Genomic DNA, 17,072 nt, shown 5'->3' with positions numbered 1-17,072 from the left:
TTTGTTTGCTTTTGGTTATCATCATTATCTAGATTTTATTGGCTCATTTTTGATTATTCATTTCTGAAAAAAATGTATTTAATTTCCCAGGTATTTGTAGGGGATTCATATGGAAAATAAGAATTTTTATTCTCTTAAGACATGGAAGAGATAAATATTTGTTGTAATTTTTCTTTAATGTTAGACTAAAAAGAGGTCACTAAGAGAAGGATTTTTTTTTTTCGTTTCTAAGAAAATGGCTTAGAACCTATGATACTAAAAAATGAGCAATTATTTAAAATTGTTTATATAGCCAGTGTCTGAGCTAGGGGCAAATTCCAGATTTAAATTAAATACCTCGAAAGAGCACATAATAAAGGAATATATATGTATATGTATATACATATATACTAAGAAGAAGGTGATATCAAATAGACTCTTGAATCAGAAAGGAGAATGCTTTTCAAGGACTTTTCTTTGAACACTTGGGCAATTGGGATCATTTTCAAATGCTTCACTCCCACTTCCTTCTTTTGCCCCTGTTACTTCAATTTGTTAATATGAGGAAATAAGATTGTTTTCTTGCAAAAATATTTATCATTAATATTGGTCCTATTTGCTCTTCTGCCCAGTCCTGAGCTCTTAACAAACCTCGTCTTATTTGGACACCAGGGAAGACAGGTGTTGTTACATTGCTTCAGCATCAAAATTGGGTGAGGAAAAGAACTAAATACCCTGAATGTTAAGTGTGTTACTGGTTTGGTTTTCTTAGTGGTTCTACATTGTATCATTTATGCCTTGAAAAGTTCAGTGACAATAGAGTTTGGGGATTGTGGGTGGGGGGATGGTAGGGAGACGTGTGGGAGGAGAGTGATTGGCTATCTTGCTTTTTACTATTATCAGGTATTCTTGTATAGAGACACAGGATTGGATTCAGTCTTGGAAAACAATTTATTGCATTACTTTCCTAGTTTCTTCATCTCCTTCATTCATGTTAAGTAGGATATCAGACATTTCAATAAGTAGAAGAAAATCTCACTGACTTCTTCAAATGTTACAAAAAAAAAAAAAAAGTCATCCCTCCTCAATTTGGATACAGGAGTAAAACCACTGTCTTGCCTCATTATTAGAATTTTCCCTTATATTTATACTTAGTTCTTGCCACAATATCTAACCAATTTTTTTTTTTTATAATTGGAGATGCTTATCTATACCTTTGGAATCCGGAAGTATAGGCAGTAGTATACTTTCAAAAATATTATTTCCTGGTTTCCATTTGCTGTGATTCTTTATGGATCAGGCTTGTTTGTGTATATAGCCTCTATACATCTAATTTAATTCCCACCTTTAAAATGATTCCTTTTAACTTAAGGATTACCAAATGGTAATCAACCAGGGAAAAGACAAGGGGAAAAAGTTCCAGTGTGGCTAATGTGATATAGATTGATAAGCCATTTATGTACCTTAATACCTGGTTAACATGAAACAATAGTGGAACAATAGTGTCCTATTTGTGTCTTATTTTCTGCACATTCATTCTTACATATCTCTCTAAGCTCAGCTAAGAATTTGAGGCCTAACTGCATGAAGCCTGTAGGATAGTAGACATAAATGTGACTTACAGATATATGCCAGCCTTAGGATCATTTGGAAATCTCTGAAGATAAGAAAGATCTCAGCAAGATTCTGAGTTTGCTTGAGAAATTTCTCTAGAAAAGAACCTAGCATCAGTGGTCTGATCAGACCAAAGATGATGAATTGAAATGATTTCTGGAGATTGGGAAACAAGGTACCTATAAACAGTCATTGACAAATCTTACATCTTCTTTTTTTTAAAAAAATCTTAGTCTTGAAGACAAATTTTGGTCAATGATTCTGGTTATCATTAAGTGAGAGCTGTTGCCTTGAAGAAAAACTTAGTGTATCTGGAAGATATTGAAGTTGGAGGTTATATTTGGTTTATCTCATATTATTCTCTGAGTTTCTTTTATGTTGTAGTTCTACTGTTACGCTGTGATCATGCTGATGTAAATAAATCATTCATTTGGTAGTATGACTTGCTTAGTGTGTTTCATTAAAACAAATAGAGGTAACAAGAACAATGAATCTAATTTGGTCTGCCATTATCATCTGGTAGTTTGCAAGCCAATACACCAGCATAACCTGAGATCTACACAGCAGTGGGGTGGCCACAGCAGGTTTAAAGAAAGAAAACCAGATTCCTGGAGATGCTATTCCTAAGGAAAGCTTGGAGTCTCAGGAGGAGTAATCTGTACTCTGTGCCTACATACACTTTTTTTTTTAATTTTAGCAAGAGACTATTTCATAAATTAAAGAAACACAATAAAAGGCTCACCAACACAAAGAAGAAAACTGAAAAATGGATCCTTTTGGGATGAAGTCATAAGAGTTATATAAAGTGTAGCCTTTGATCCCATCATACTTGAAATAGATACTGATTTAAAATTCATATATTTGCCATCATTCTTTTCAATCCCTCCACCCGTATTTTTTTTAACATCTAAACAAAGTGACCTCATTGTTTTCCATTGGATTTTTTTCTAAACATTGGCTGGGATGATTGAGATTCAGGAATGTGGGAAAATGGATTCCCAAACCACGTCCCTCCCCTTTCATTCTGAACTGTAATTTTTGGCTTGGCTTGAATCACAGTCATCACATTTCAGCCTGAATCTCTCTGTAAAGTGATCTTTCTTAAACATTTCTCTCACTCATCAAGGGATCAGAAACAAAGCTGTTCTAGCCTTTCAGCAAAACACTTACAGGCAGCTTTTACAGAGAAGTCGCGAGAGCTAAATTTCCTCTAGAATTGTTTGAAAAGCGAACATTTTCAGTGCCTCATTGTCCTTTTTGTGAATCTTGTCATCTGTATGCCATGAGCTCCAGCAGCTATTTTAATCTGTTTTTGTTTGCAATCCATTTGGTGTCCACCCAAGGAAATGCAGGTGATTCTAATTAACTTACTGCTGAAGACGTAGGAAAAAAAAATCCCAATTGTGATGTAGCGAATTATATACTTAAAACCTTTCTTCTATTATTTATAACACATTATTAATGAAAATATTATATAAATATATTTATCACCTAGTTCATTGCTGTTCACTTTTTAAAAATCAATGGGGATTATGGCACAAGAAAAAGCCACACACATTCACAAATACACAGACACAATACAGACCCCGAGAACGCTTGCCAACTTTTATTTAACAAGAGTAGCAACTTAAAAAATAACATTATTTTTACTTTGTGCAACATAGTTTAATATCTGAAATAACTCTGTTCCAATAAAAATCTATTGAAATACTCTCAGGCCTAACTCTGCCCTGAAGGTAAAAGTGATTAATTGAAAGATTTTGGCAGATCTCTGCTCACCACCAGGGCAGTTTAATTTAGAACACATTCAACCATTTCTCAGTGTCTCTGTGTTGGTGGAGCATAACTTTTGATCTTTGGGGAGGTGCCTCCAATTCAGACCCTTTGGCTTGCCACTTCCTGGAAGGTTTTGATGGCTTGCCTCTGCTAAGCATTCAGGTGAGAGAGAGCTCTTCCCTGGCCGCTGCCTCTCAAGTGAGTTCGTAAAAGCAAATTCCAGGCACCAAGACAAAATATTCTACAAACCCATTTGAGTATACTAACCATCAGCAAAGTCCTATTTAGATCACAGACAAAATGGTTCTTTTCAGCTTATTGCTGCCTTTCGAAACTTCTGAGAAATTATAGTGTCACTAGCCTCTTTCCCAGGCAAAGAAGAAGGTGCTCCTAACCATGACAGTGGATGAAGCTGAGACATTTGAGCTTCCTATTCTCAGGAAACACAAATAGGATGACTGTTTTCTTTTTGAGAGTACAGGAGAAACTGCGTAGTGGATATTACTAATACTTCTGCTCCACAGAGAGGTGGGACTAGGTCATGTTCCTTCCTGCTTGGCAGATGGACCTGTGTTAAACTGTGATTAAATGGAAGAACAGATCAATTCTAAGATATTCTGTGGCCCTTGAATTGGTGAATTCCAACTCTCCAGGCAATTTGACAGATATTGTGTAGGTACTTACTATGTAGCAAAAGTGTGCTAGGCATTGGGGATACAGTAACAAATGTGGTACACACATTTCCAGATGTTATAGAGCCATAACACGCACTAAAATGTGAGAACATATATTCTCTGTGAGGTGGATTATAAAAATGATTCTGTTTTTAAATCGTTTTACATATTTCCCAACTATTTTATGTGTTTATATACATATACATATATACACATGTGTGTAGTATATACATATATATTACTCTTGTGAACAAATATTAATGACATTTATTATGAAAACATTATGACACAGATTGAAATTATTTGATAATATATACTTATGAGTTTATGTCCCCACAGATCCACTTGAAAAATGTTTGGAGACTATCATAAATCTATTCTGTATCCTTGAATGCTGTATTTTGTATCTCTAATTTAGCTGAAAGATGGTTTAAGACTCTTAAAATGAGGTTCAAAATCTTCATGGGACACACAGTAGAAATCTCAAAATTAAGTATTTCATAAACTATTTCTTATTGGGGAAATCACATCCAGATTTGGAGACAGAAATATAAGGTATCTGGAATAGAGCTGAAAAGACAAAAACATCTTCCCTACTTAGAAGCTCTACCTTTCCCTGGACAATTTATACCATTGGCTTTTGTGATTTTGGGACTCGTACAAAAAGAAATGTATAAGCAAAAGACAAGAGGTAGCAATAAAGTTGGCTTTCTGACTTCCTATGATCACAATATAAAGTAGAAAGATTAGCCTTCCTCTAGTGGTCTAGGAGAGACCTAACTTCTCAGCTTCATTCTGTACTACATAAGGGCTGTTAACCATCTAACAAAGAAGTATGCACCCTCTGGTTACTCAAAACACTTTGTTGACTTAAAAAAAGGCATTCCAATAACAGTTGTTCCCTTATTTAAACTCATCTAGCACTAGTGTAATACAAACCAGATTTTCAGCTTCTGGGGGATTTTGTCACATAGATCTACATTGAAAGACTTGTGGAAATATCTGGGTATTTGCATATATATACACATACATATTTATATATATATATTTAATATCTCTCATTTCTTTCTGATCTATTGTCATGGAAAGAAAATATATTAAACTAACATGTGCCAAAAAATAGACAAATGAGATTACATCAAACTAGGAAGCTTCTGCACAGCAAAGGAAACAATCAACAGAGTGGAGTGGCAACCTATAGAATGGGAGAAATTATTTTCAAAATATACATTTGACAGGATGTTAACATCAGAATGTATAAGGTACTCAAACAACTCAATACCAAACAACCAAAAAACAACCTGAGCCCAAGTTAAAAATGAGCAAAAAACTAAAAAGATACTTCTCAAAAAAAGACATACAAATGGCCAATAGGTAAATGGGAAAATGCTCAACATCACTAATCATCAGATACATGCAAATTAAAACAATAATGAGATATCACCTTACCTCTGATAGAATGGCTATTATTAAAAAGACAAAAGATAACAAGTGTTGGCAAGGATGTGAAGAAAAGGAAACCCTTTTATATTATTGGTGGGAATGCAAATTAGTACAACAATTATGGGAAAAAATATAGAGATTCCTCAAACAATTAAAAATAGAAATACCATATGATCCAGCAATCCCACCACTGGGTATATATCCAAAGGAAATAAAATCAGTATATCAAAAAGATATCTGCATTCTTATTTTATTACAGCAATATTTACAATAACCAAGATATGGAATTAACCTAAGTGTCCATCAATGGTTGAATGATAAAATGTGATATTATATATATCATATGTTATTATATATGATATACATTATATCATATATATACTATATATGTGATATTATATATATCATATATACTATATATGTGATATTATATATATCATATATATACTATATATGTGATATTATATATATCATATATATATTATATATGTGATATTATATATATCATATATATATTATATATGTGATATTATATATATCATATATATTATATATGTGATACTATATATCATATCATATATATCATATATATAATATATATCATATATATATTTTAAATCATATATATATGATATATATGCACACACACATATACACATATATGATATATATGTGCACACACACACACAAATGGAATACTATTCAGCCATTAAAAAATCCTGCTTTTGGGGTAGAGCCAAGATGGCCGAATAGGAACAGCTCCAGTCTACAGCTACCAGTGTGAGTGACGCAGAAGATGGGTGATTTCTGCATTTCCAACTGAGTTACCAGGTTCATCTCACTGGGGAGTGCCGGACAGTGGTTGCAGGAGAGTGGGTGCAGTGCACCGTGCATGAGCCGAAGCAGGGCGAGGCATCGCCTCACCCGGGAAGTGCAAGGGGTCAGGGAATTCCCTTTCCTAGTCAAAGAAAGGGGTGACAGATGGCACCTGGGAAATCGGGTCACTCCCACCCCGATACTGTGCTCTTCCAATGGGCTTAACAAACGACACACCAGCAGATTATATCCCACACCTAGCTCGGAGGGTCCTACGCCCACGAAGCCTCGCTCATTGCTAGCATGGCATTCTGAGATCAAACTGCAAGGCGGCAGCGAGGCTGGGGGAGGGGTGCCCGCAATTGCTCAGGCTTGAGTAGGTAAGCAAAGCAGCCAGGAACCTCGAACTGGGTGGAGCCCACCACAGCTCAAGGAGGCCTGCCTGCCTCTGTAGGCTCCACCTCTGGGGGCAGGGCACAGACAAACAAAAGACAGCAATAACCTCTGCAGACTTAAAGGTCCCTGTCTGACAGCTGTGAAGAGAGTAGTGGTTCGCCCAGCAAACAGCTTGAGATCTGAGAACGGGCAGACTGCCTCCTCAAGTGGGTCCCTGACTGCTGAGTAGCCTAGCTGGGAGGCATCCCCCAGTAGGGGCAGACTAACACCTCACACGGCCGGGTACTCCTCTGAGACAAAACTTCCAGAGGAACGATCAGGCAGCAGCATTTGCGGTTCACCAATATCCGCTGTTCTGCAGCCACCACTGCTGATACCCAGGCAAACAGGGTCTGGAGTGGACCTCCAGTAAACTCCAACAGACCTGCAACTGAGGGTCCTGACTGTTAGAAGGAAAACTAACAAAGAGAAAGGACATCCACACCAAAAACCCATCTGTATGTCACCACCATCAAAGACCAAAGGTAGATAAAACCACAAAGATGGGGAAAAAACAGAGCTGAAAAACCGGAAACTCTAAAAATCAGAGCTCCTCTCCTCCTCCAAAGGAACGCAGCTCCTCACCAGCAACAGAACAAAGCTGGATGGAGAATGACTTTGACGAGTTGAGAGAAGAAGGCTTCAGAAGATCAAATTACTCTGAGCTAAAGGAGGAAGTTCGAACCAATGGCAAAGAGGTTAAAAACTTTGAAAAAAAATTAGACGAATGGATAACTAGAATAACCAATGCAGAGAAGTCCTTAAAGGACCTGATGGAGCTGAAAACCATGGCACAAGAACTACATGATGAATACACAAGCCTCAGTAACCGATGCGATCAACTGGCAGAAAGGGTATCAGCGATGGAAGATGAAATAAATGAAATGAAGCATGAAGACAAGTTTAGAGAAAAAAGAATAAAAAGAAACGAACAAAGCCTCCAAGAAATATGGGTCTATGTGAAAAGACCAAACCTACATTTGATAGGTGTACCTGAAAGTGAGCGGGAAAATGGAACCAAGTTGGAAAACACTCTGCAGGATATTATCCAGGAGAACTTCCCCAATCTAGCAAGGCAGGCCAACATTCAAATTCAAGAAATACAGAGAATGCCACAAAGATTCTCCTTGGGAAGAGCAACGCCAAGACACATAATTGTCAGATTCACCAAAGTTGAAATGAAGGAAAAAATGTTAAGGGCAGCCAGAGAGAAAGGTCAGGTTAACCACAAAGGGAAGCCCATCAGACTAACAGCTGATCTCCCAGCAGAAACTCTACAAGCCAGAAGAGAGTGGGGGCCAATACTCAACATTCTTAAAGAAAAGAATTTTCAACCCAGAATTTCATATCCAGCCAAACTAAGCTTCATAAGGGAAGGAGAAATAAAATACTTTACAGACAAGCAAATGCTGAGAGATTTTGTCACCACCAGGCCTGCCTTAAAGGAGCTCCTGAAGGAAGCACTAAACATGGAAAGAAACAACCGGTACCACCCACTGCAAAAAACAGGCCAAATTGTAAAGACCATCAAGGCTAGGAAGAAACTGCATCAACTAACAAGCAAAATAACCAGCTAACATAATGACAGGATCAAATTCACACATAACAATACTAACCTTAAATGTAAATGGGCTAAACGCTCCAGTTAAAAGGCACAGACTGGCAAATTGGATAAAGAGTCAAGACCCATCATAGTGCTGTATTCAGGAAACCCATCACGTGCAGACACACATATAGGCTCAAAATAAAGGGACGGAGGAAGATCTACCAAGCAAATGGAAAACAAAAAAAGGCAGGGGTTGCAATCCTAGTCTCTGACAAAACAGACTTTAAACCAACAAAGATCAAAAGAGACAAAGAAGGCCATTACATAATGGTAAAGGGATCAATTCAACAAGAAGAACTAACTATCCTAAATATATATGCACCCAATACAGGAGCATCCAGATTCATAAAGCAAGTCCTTAGTGACCTACAAAGAGACTCAGACTCCCACACAATAATAATGGGAGATTTTAACACCCCACTGTCAACATTAGACAGATCAACGAGACAGAAAGTAAACAAGGATATCCAGGAATTGAACTCAGCTCTGCACCAAGCAGACCTAATAGACATCTACAGAACCCTCCACCACAAGTCAACAGAATATACATTCTTTTCAGCACCACACCACTCCTATTCCAAAATTGACCACATAGTTGGAAGTAAAGCACTCCTCAGCAAATGTGAAAGAACAGAAATTATAACAAACTGTCTCTCAGACCACAGTGCAATCAAACTAGAACTCAGGATTAAGAAACTCACTCAAAACTGCTCAACTACATGGAAACTGAACAACCTGCTCCTGAATGACTACTGGGTACCTAATGAAATGAAGGCAGAAATAAAGATGTTCTTTGAAACCAACGAGAACAAAGACACAACATACCAGAATCTCTGGGACACATTCAAAGCAGTGCGTAGGGGGAAATTTACAGCACTAAATGCCCACAAGAGAAAGCAGGAAAGATCTAAAATTGACACCCTAACATCACAATTAAAAGAACTAGAGAAGCAAGAGCAAACACATCCAAAAGCTAGCAGAAGGCAAGAAATAACTAAGATCAGAGCAGAACTGAAGGAAATAGAGACACAAAAAACCCTTCAAAAAATCAATGAATCCAGGAGCTGGTTTTTTGAAAAGATCAACAAAACTGATAGACCGCTAGCAAGACTAATAAAGAAGAAAAGAGAGAAGAATCAAATAGACGCAATAAAAAATGACAAAGGGGATATCACTACCAATCCAACAGAAACACAAACTACCATCAGAGAATGCTATAAATACCTCTACACAAATAAACTAGAAAATCTAGAAGAAGTGGATAAGTTCCTCAACACATACACCCTCCCAAGACTAAACCAGGAAGAAGTTGAATCTCTGAATAGACCAATAACAGGCTCTGAAATTGAGGCAATAATTAATAGCTTACCAACCAAAAAAATCCAGGACCAGATGGATTCACAGCCGAATTCTACCAGAGGTACAAGGAGGAACTGGTACCATTCCTTCTGAAACTATACCAATCAAGAGAAAAAGAGGGAATCCTCCCTAACTCATTTTATGAGACCAGCATCGTCCTGATACCAAAGCCTGGCAGAGACACAACAAAAAAAGAGAATTTTAGACCAATATCCTTGATGAACATTGGTGCAAAAATCCTCAATAAAATACTGGCAAACCGAATCCAGCAGCACATCAAAAAGCTTATTCACCATGATCAAGTGGGCTTCATCCCTGGGATGCAAGGCTGGTTCAACATATGAAAATCAATAAACGTAATCCAGCATAAACAGAGAATCAAAGACAAAAACCACATGATTATCTCAATAGATGCAGAAAAGGCCTTTGACAAAATTCAACAACCCTTCATGCTAAAAACTCTCAATAAATTAGGTATTGATGGGACATATCTCAAAATAATAAGAGCTATCTATCACAGACCCACAGCCAATATCATACTGAGTGGACAAAAACTGGAAGCATTCCCTTTGAAAACTGGCACAAGACAGGGATGCCCTCTCTCACCACTCCTATTCAACATAGTGTTGGAAGTTCTGGCCAGGGTAATCAGGCAGGAGAAGGAAATAAAGGGCATTTAATTAAGAAAAGAGGAAGTCAAATTGTCTCTGTTTGCAGATGACATGATTGTATATCTAGAAAACCCCATTGTCTCAGCCCAAAATCTCCTTAAGCTGATAAGCAACTTCAGCAAAGTCTCAGGATACAAAATCAATGTGCAAAAATCACAAGCATTCCTATACAGCAATAACAGACAAACAGAGAGCCAAATCATGAGTGAACTCCCATTCACAATTGCTTCAAAGAGAATAAAATACCTAGGAATCCAACTTACAAGGGATGTGAAGGACCTCTTCAAGGAGAACTACAAACTACTGCTCAAGGAAATAAAAGAGGATACAAACAAATGGAAGAATATTCTATGCTCATGGGTAGGAAGAATCAATATCGTGAAAATGGCCATACTGCCCAAGGTAATTTATAGATTCAATGCCATCCCCATCAAGCTACCAATGACTTTCTTCACAGAATTGGAAAAAACTGCTTTAAAGTTCATATGGAACCAAAAAAGAGCCCGCATTGCCAAGTCAATCCTAAGCCAAAAGAACAAAGCTGGAGACATCATGCTACCTGACTTCAAACTACACTACAAGGCTACAGTAACCAAAACAGCATGGTACTGGCACCAAAACAGAGATATAGATCAATGGAACAGAACAGAGCCCTCAGAAATAATGCTGCATATCTACAGCCATCTGATCTTTGACAAACCTGACAAAAACAAGCAATGGGGAAAGGATTCCCTATTTAATAAATGGTGCTGGGAAAACTGGCTAGCCATATGTAGGAAGCTGAAACTGGATCCCCTCCTTACACTTTATACAAAAATTAATTCAAGATGTATTAAAGACTTACATGTTAGATCTAAAACCATAAAAACTCTAGAAGAAAACCTAGGCAATACCATTCAAGACATAAGCATGGGCAAGGACTTCATGTCTAAAACACCAAAAGCAATGGCAACAAAAGCCAAAATTGACAAATGGGATCTAATTAAACTAAAGAGCTTCCGCACAGCAAAAGAAACCACCATCAGAGTGAACAGGCAACCTACAGAATGGGAGAAAATTTTTGCAACTTACTCATCTGACAAAGGGCTAATATCCAGAATCTACAATGAACTCAAAGAAATTTACAAGAAAAAAACAAACAACCTCGTCAAAAAGTGGGCAAAGGATATGAACAGACACTTCTCAAAAGAAGACATTTATGCAGCCAAAAAACACATGAAAAAATGCTCATCATCACTGGCCAGCCATCAGAGAAATGCAAATCAAAACCACAATGAGATACCATCTCACACCAGTTAGAATGGCAATCATTAAAAAGTCAGGAAACAACAGGTGCTGGAGAGGATGTGGAGAAATAGGAACACTTTTACACTGTTGGTGGGACTGTAAACTAGTTCAACCATTGTGGAAGTCGGTGTGGTGATTCCTCAGGGATCTGGAACTAGAAATACCATTTGACCCAGCCATCTCATTACTGGGTATATACCCAAAGGATTATAAATCATGCTGCTATAAAGACACATGCACACGTATGTTTATTGCGGCACTATTCACAATAGCAAAGACTTGGAACCAACCCAAATGTCCAACAATGATAGACTGGATTAAGAAAATGTGGCACATATACACCATGGAATACTATGCAGCCATAAAAAATGATGAGTTCATGTTCTTTGTAGGGACATGGATGAAGGTGGAAACCATCATTCTCAGCAAACTATTGCAAGGACAAAAAACCAAACACCGCATGTTCTCGTTCATAGGTGGGAATTGAACAGTGAGAACACATGGACACAGGAAGGGGAACATCACACACCGGGGACGGTTGTGGGGTGGGGGGAGGGGGGAGGGATAGCATTAGGAGATATACCTAATGCTAAATGATGAGTTAATGGGTGCAGCACCCCAACATGGCACATGTACACATATGTAACAAACCTGCACGTTGTGCACATGTACCCTAAAACTTAAATAATAAAAAAAAAAATCCTGCTTTTGTGACAACATGAATGAACATGGAGGACGTTATGCTAAGTGAAATAAACCAGGAACAGAAAAATACGTATTGCATGATCTCACTCACATGTGGAATTCAAAAAGGTTGACCTCATAGAAGAAGAGAATGGAATGGTGGCTACTAGAGGCTGGTATGATTAGGCGGACGGTAGGAATGAGAAAATGTTGGTCAAAGGATACATAATTATAATTAGCTAGAAGGAATAAATTTCAAGGGATCTATTGGATAGCAAGACGACTACAGTTAATGATGACATATATTCCTGAAAAATGTAATGAGAGTGAATGTTAAGTGCTCTCATCTATGATAACTATGTGAGGTAATTTGTTAATTACATAGATTTAACTATTACACAATATCTATATACTTTAAAACTTCATGTTGTATGTGAAAAAAACATACATTATCCACAAATTTAAAAAAAACTAAGACGTTTTATATATGCTGATGTTCATTGATACAACATTTATGAAATATCTAACTCCATATATGTGACTTTCTAAAGTGGCAAGATATCAATTATAAATGTATCTCATGTTTTCTCTTGTATGAAATGTAAATAAAGGATGTCTTAATTTCCCTGTTTCCTCCAGGGGATGGCAGAGTTTGAGTTTTGATGTTAGAAACTCCATTGAGTTTGAATGTTAGGAAATCCATAATCAGGCAGTATAGCTAAATCTTGAAGTGCCATGAGAGATAGAAATGAAAGATTATCAATTTGAAGACTTGGATTTTATGCCATTGGTTCCCAACGTAAGTTAATATTAATTATAGAGGCTACTTTTGCAGTTTATTTTCAGAAAATCTGGGAAGATAATTCTTTCTTAAAATATTTCTTTCACACAGCCTTGCTTATGCCTAAAATTCTGCAATTAGAATTCGTCCTTTTTTCTTGAAATCCTATTGGAGGATTTCACATCAAACCTCACTGGTCATATACGCTTTAGTATGTGGATTAATTTATTAAATCCTTTACTGGGAGCAGACTTTAACTGAAAAGAAAACAAGTACAATGAGTTTACTTGTGTAGGATGTGGGAGAGAAAAAGATGGAGAATAAGGGGGCAAGTACATAATGGGAGAGGAACAGAAAGGGAAAATGGGTACAACATGTTGGCTTCAAATGAATTCAAAAGAGTGGTTGCTATTATCCAAAGTTTCTCCCTTCCTGGGTTACCTGCTATTTTGGACACACCAAGACACAGAAAAAAAGAAGTATATTACTGTACTTAGAAATTTGGGGGAGAAGGGGCACATTTTTAAGCTTGATTAATCACAATTTATTTTAACATAATTTATTCTTATAGTAATTTTCTATCATAAGGAAATTAGAAATATGGAAATTGTAAAAAATAACATCTTCAGGGAAAACTTATAAAATAATTTTTCTTTCAGGTGAGTACAATGCTCTAAACTGAGGTTCCTAAATTCATATAGGTTTTTTTGTTTTGTTTTTTATTTTTTTTTTGAGACAGGTTCTCAGTCTATCACTCAGGCTAGAGTGCAGTGGTATGATCACAGCTCACAGCAGCCTCAACCTCTCCAGGCTCAGGTCCTCCCACCTCAGGCTCTCAAGTAGCTGGCGACTGCAGGCACACACCACCACGCCTGGCTATTTTTTTTGGTATTTTTTGTACAGACAGTGTTTTGCCATGTTGCCCAGGTTGATCTCGAACTCCTCAGCTCAAGAGATCTGCCCACCTCAGCCTCCCAAAGTGCTGGGATTGTAGGCATGAGCCACTTTTCCTGGCCCCATATAGGTCTTTTTTTCTATAGATTGAAATGTCGTGAATATTTCATGGCATTCTCCCATGAAATCATCAGATCTCTGAGCCAGGCCTGTCTCTTCTCTGGGTAAGGACTGCAGAGAATACAGGTACTTCTCTCACCGTATCACTCTCCTGCAGTTTTACTGTATGTGGCGTTGTCTGTGTATACATCACTGGGTCTGTATTAGCCCATGCTCATACTGCTATAACGAACTGCCTATGACTCGGTAATTTATAAAGGAAAGAGGTTTAATTGACTCACAGTTCAGCATGGCTGGAGAGGCCTCGGAAGACTTACAGTAAGGGTGGAAGGCGAAGGGGAAGCAAGGCACCTTCTTCTCAAGGTGGAAGAAAGAAGTGCCAGTGAGGGAGGAAGAGCCCCTTATAAAGCCATCAGATCTCGTGAGAACTCACTCACTATTATGAGAACAGCATGGAGGAACCAGCCCCAGGATTCAATTACTTCCACCTCGTCTCTCGATTGACATGTGGGGATTATGGAGATTACAATTCAAGAAGAGATGTGGGTGGGGATACAAAGCCTAACTCCATCAGGCTCACTGGAGAGATGAGAGGTGTCAGATGGAGCCAGTGATGTATACACAAACAATGCCACAAGTCTTAAGTCTTCCCCAGTAACAACCTAAGGCTTATTGGCCTCAGCTGGTAATGCATGGCTTTGAACTATGGCAGACTTAACGAGGTCTTAGATTTCCAATCTGCTCTTAAGTTTTAAAATAAACCTTAATAAAGGCAATTACATCAGAAACAAATGCATTTCTATTAATTCACTGGCCAGAGTATCAAAAGAAAGTAATAACCTTATTTCCACTAAGAGCAAAGTGTGCTACAGTCAAAACCCCTTGAGAGGAGGAGGGTACCAAGCTTGGAAACACAGCATGCTTTTAGAAGTGTCAGTGAGACTCCCTTTTCCCTTTCTTTGCCTTATCAAATGAAACAAAACAAAATCCTCTTTCCTGGTGCTTGAACATACTCTAATAGGAGACAAATTATTGATACCTTTTAAAACAGTTAAGCTCAAGGTAATACTCAAAAGTGTGAATAAGGGTGTCTGAACATCAAGCTGGAGTATAAATGATATTTCTGAGGCAGGTGTGCCAGAAGGAGAGTATCAGAGGTCAGACAGGGGCTCAAGGTGACATCATGGAGTAATGTAATCACACACCAAAGAAAGAGAAGGAAGGATGCGAATGCACTGTTCTCCTTCAGTTCCCGTATTTTGCCCCGTGAGAAATTAAATGAACAGGTTCACACGTCTTCTCTTGTTTTCGGGGTTTCAGAGTTCTTCCAACGTTAATCATGTTACCTGCCAACATTTGTTAAAAAAATCTTGTCATAAAAATGAACTAAAAATTTACTGTCTTTCAACATTCAACAAGTGAAAAGCATTCCCCCTGCTCATCATCCTGTCACTCAGGGTAGTGATCAGAAATGATTCAGGAATTTGAGTATAAATGTCTGTTTTCATTCTAATGTGTCATTGTGTGTTAGAAACTCTAGACAAGAAGAAACTTCAAGAAAGTGAAAAAGTTAAAAGTGAAGTTGTTGTTCATAAAATAGTCGTTCTGTACAATCTCCAATAATTCTAGTTAAGCAGGAGCACTGTGACCTGTTTTTGTTTGAGTTTTTTGGTAACGGAAGTTTGGGGAATTAATTAGAAATGTATGAAATTTAAAACTTTTAACTTTCTCCTCTACCCAATGCATTGCCCATTTGGTATATCTATGCAATATCTTTTGAAATATTAAAATAGATCCTTTGGTATATCTACACAATATCTTTTTAAATATTAAAAGTTACCATATTCTAGTCTATAAATATATGAGAAAATATGGTCAAACTATATTATTTTGACCTGTGATTTTGCTGTGGAGTCCCTGACAGTTGTTTTTGCATGCGGTACTCTAATTGTTGGCTGCTCAGGAGTCTACAGTATATCTATAAAACTACTTTAAGTCAAGAATAGTTGATTTCTAGCATTAAGTCACTTGCTATCCTAATAACTTTCCCCTTTATGTATCATTTCCACTAGTTTACCTAGTAAGAAGAATTGCTTTTTCTGCTCTCATCCATAAAAAAACTTGTGAAAAGAAACCTTACTGGTGGGAAAAGAATTTGAATGGAAAACATGGACATACATATATCATCAGACCAAAGATTAAAAGATGAACATTATATGTGAGGAAACATTACAAGAAGCTTTCACTATATTAGTTTTTCCAAGTCAGTGTTCCAAGTCAGTCTTGGATTATGTGTGAAAAGTAAGAACTCTATACTGTAACAGGTGCTGGCAGGAAATTCCCATTAAAGCTTATGGAAGTTATGCCTGTAAAATCTTGGCATCTGAGAAAATTCTCTCATAAGGATGCATTATGCATCAGATATTTTTCTCACTAGAAAAGCAATGTGAGGCTGTAACCACCTAACAATATTCCCAGTCACTGTTTTGTTAACACCATCCCTTGGTGATGCCATCTTTGGTGACCTTGTCCTGTATGGAAAGTACATATCAGCCTTCATTTCAGCATTGTGAACATGCATTGTCTCCTGTATACAACAATAGAGATCTTGATCTTAACATCTGTCTGTCCATTCAAAGCATAAACTTGAAAGTACTTTTTTTCCCAGTAAAGTCACTGGATTTATACTAATCCATCCACATTCTGAAGACTGACTCTTAATATGAAACTTGACAAACGTTTATGAGATTTTGCTGGAGTTAAGAATACAGACTATGAAGTATCAGGTAGTAATTAATGTACAATTTTATTCCACAGTATTGGTATGTATGCTGGAAAGCACTAACATTATGAGTGCTTAATAAATGTCATCTTTGTTTTCCTCATGTAAATGACACAATATCTGTATATCCACACCTTCAAAGAGTTATAGT

The 17,072-nt window shown here is 37.3% G+C and overlaps 1 protein-coding gene across 13 annotated transcripts in view; it reads right to left on the bottom strand.

The window, feature by feature from the left end:
* The window catches only part of ARHGAP15 (Rho GTPase activating protein 15), a 638,934-nt gene that overhangs the window by 219,615 nt on the left and 402,247 nt on the right, over nucleotides 1-17,072 (bottom strand). Inside the window, exon 10 of one of the 13 annotated variants that reach the window (XM_047445114.1) lies at nucleotides 12,394-15,485. The exons of 11 other annotated variants lie outside the window; for them this stretch is intronic. In XM_047445114.1, the coding sequence (XP_047301070.1) occupies nucleotides 15,385-15,485 (101 nt within the window). In that variant the 3' untranslated portion in view covers nucleotides 12,394-15,384. Of the gene's footprint in view, nucleotides 1-12,393; nucleotides 15,486-17,072 lie in introns of those variants that run through there. One more of the 13 variants, XM_047445112.1, reaches the window with a different exon arrangement.

Source organism: Homo sapiens, chromosome 2 (genome assembly GCF_000001405.40).
Source record: "Homo sapiens chromosome 2, GRCh38.p14 Primary Assembly".
In the NCBI taxonomy this organism is placed as follows: domain Eukaryota; kingdom Metazoa; phylum Chordata; class Mammalia; order Primates; family Hominidae; genus Homo; species Homo sapiens.
Note: the sequence above shows the minus strand (reverse complement) of the source record. Positions and strands in the feature narration are given on the sequence as shown.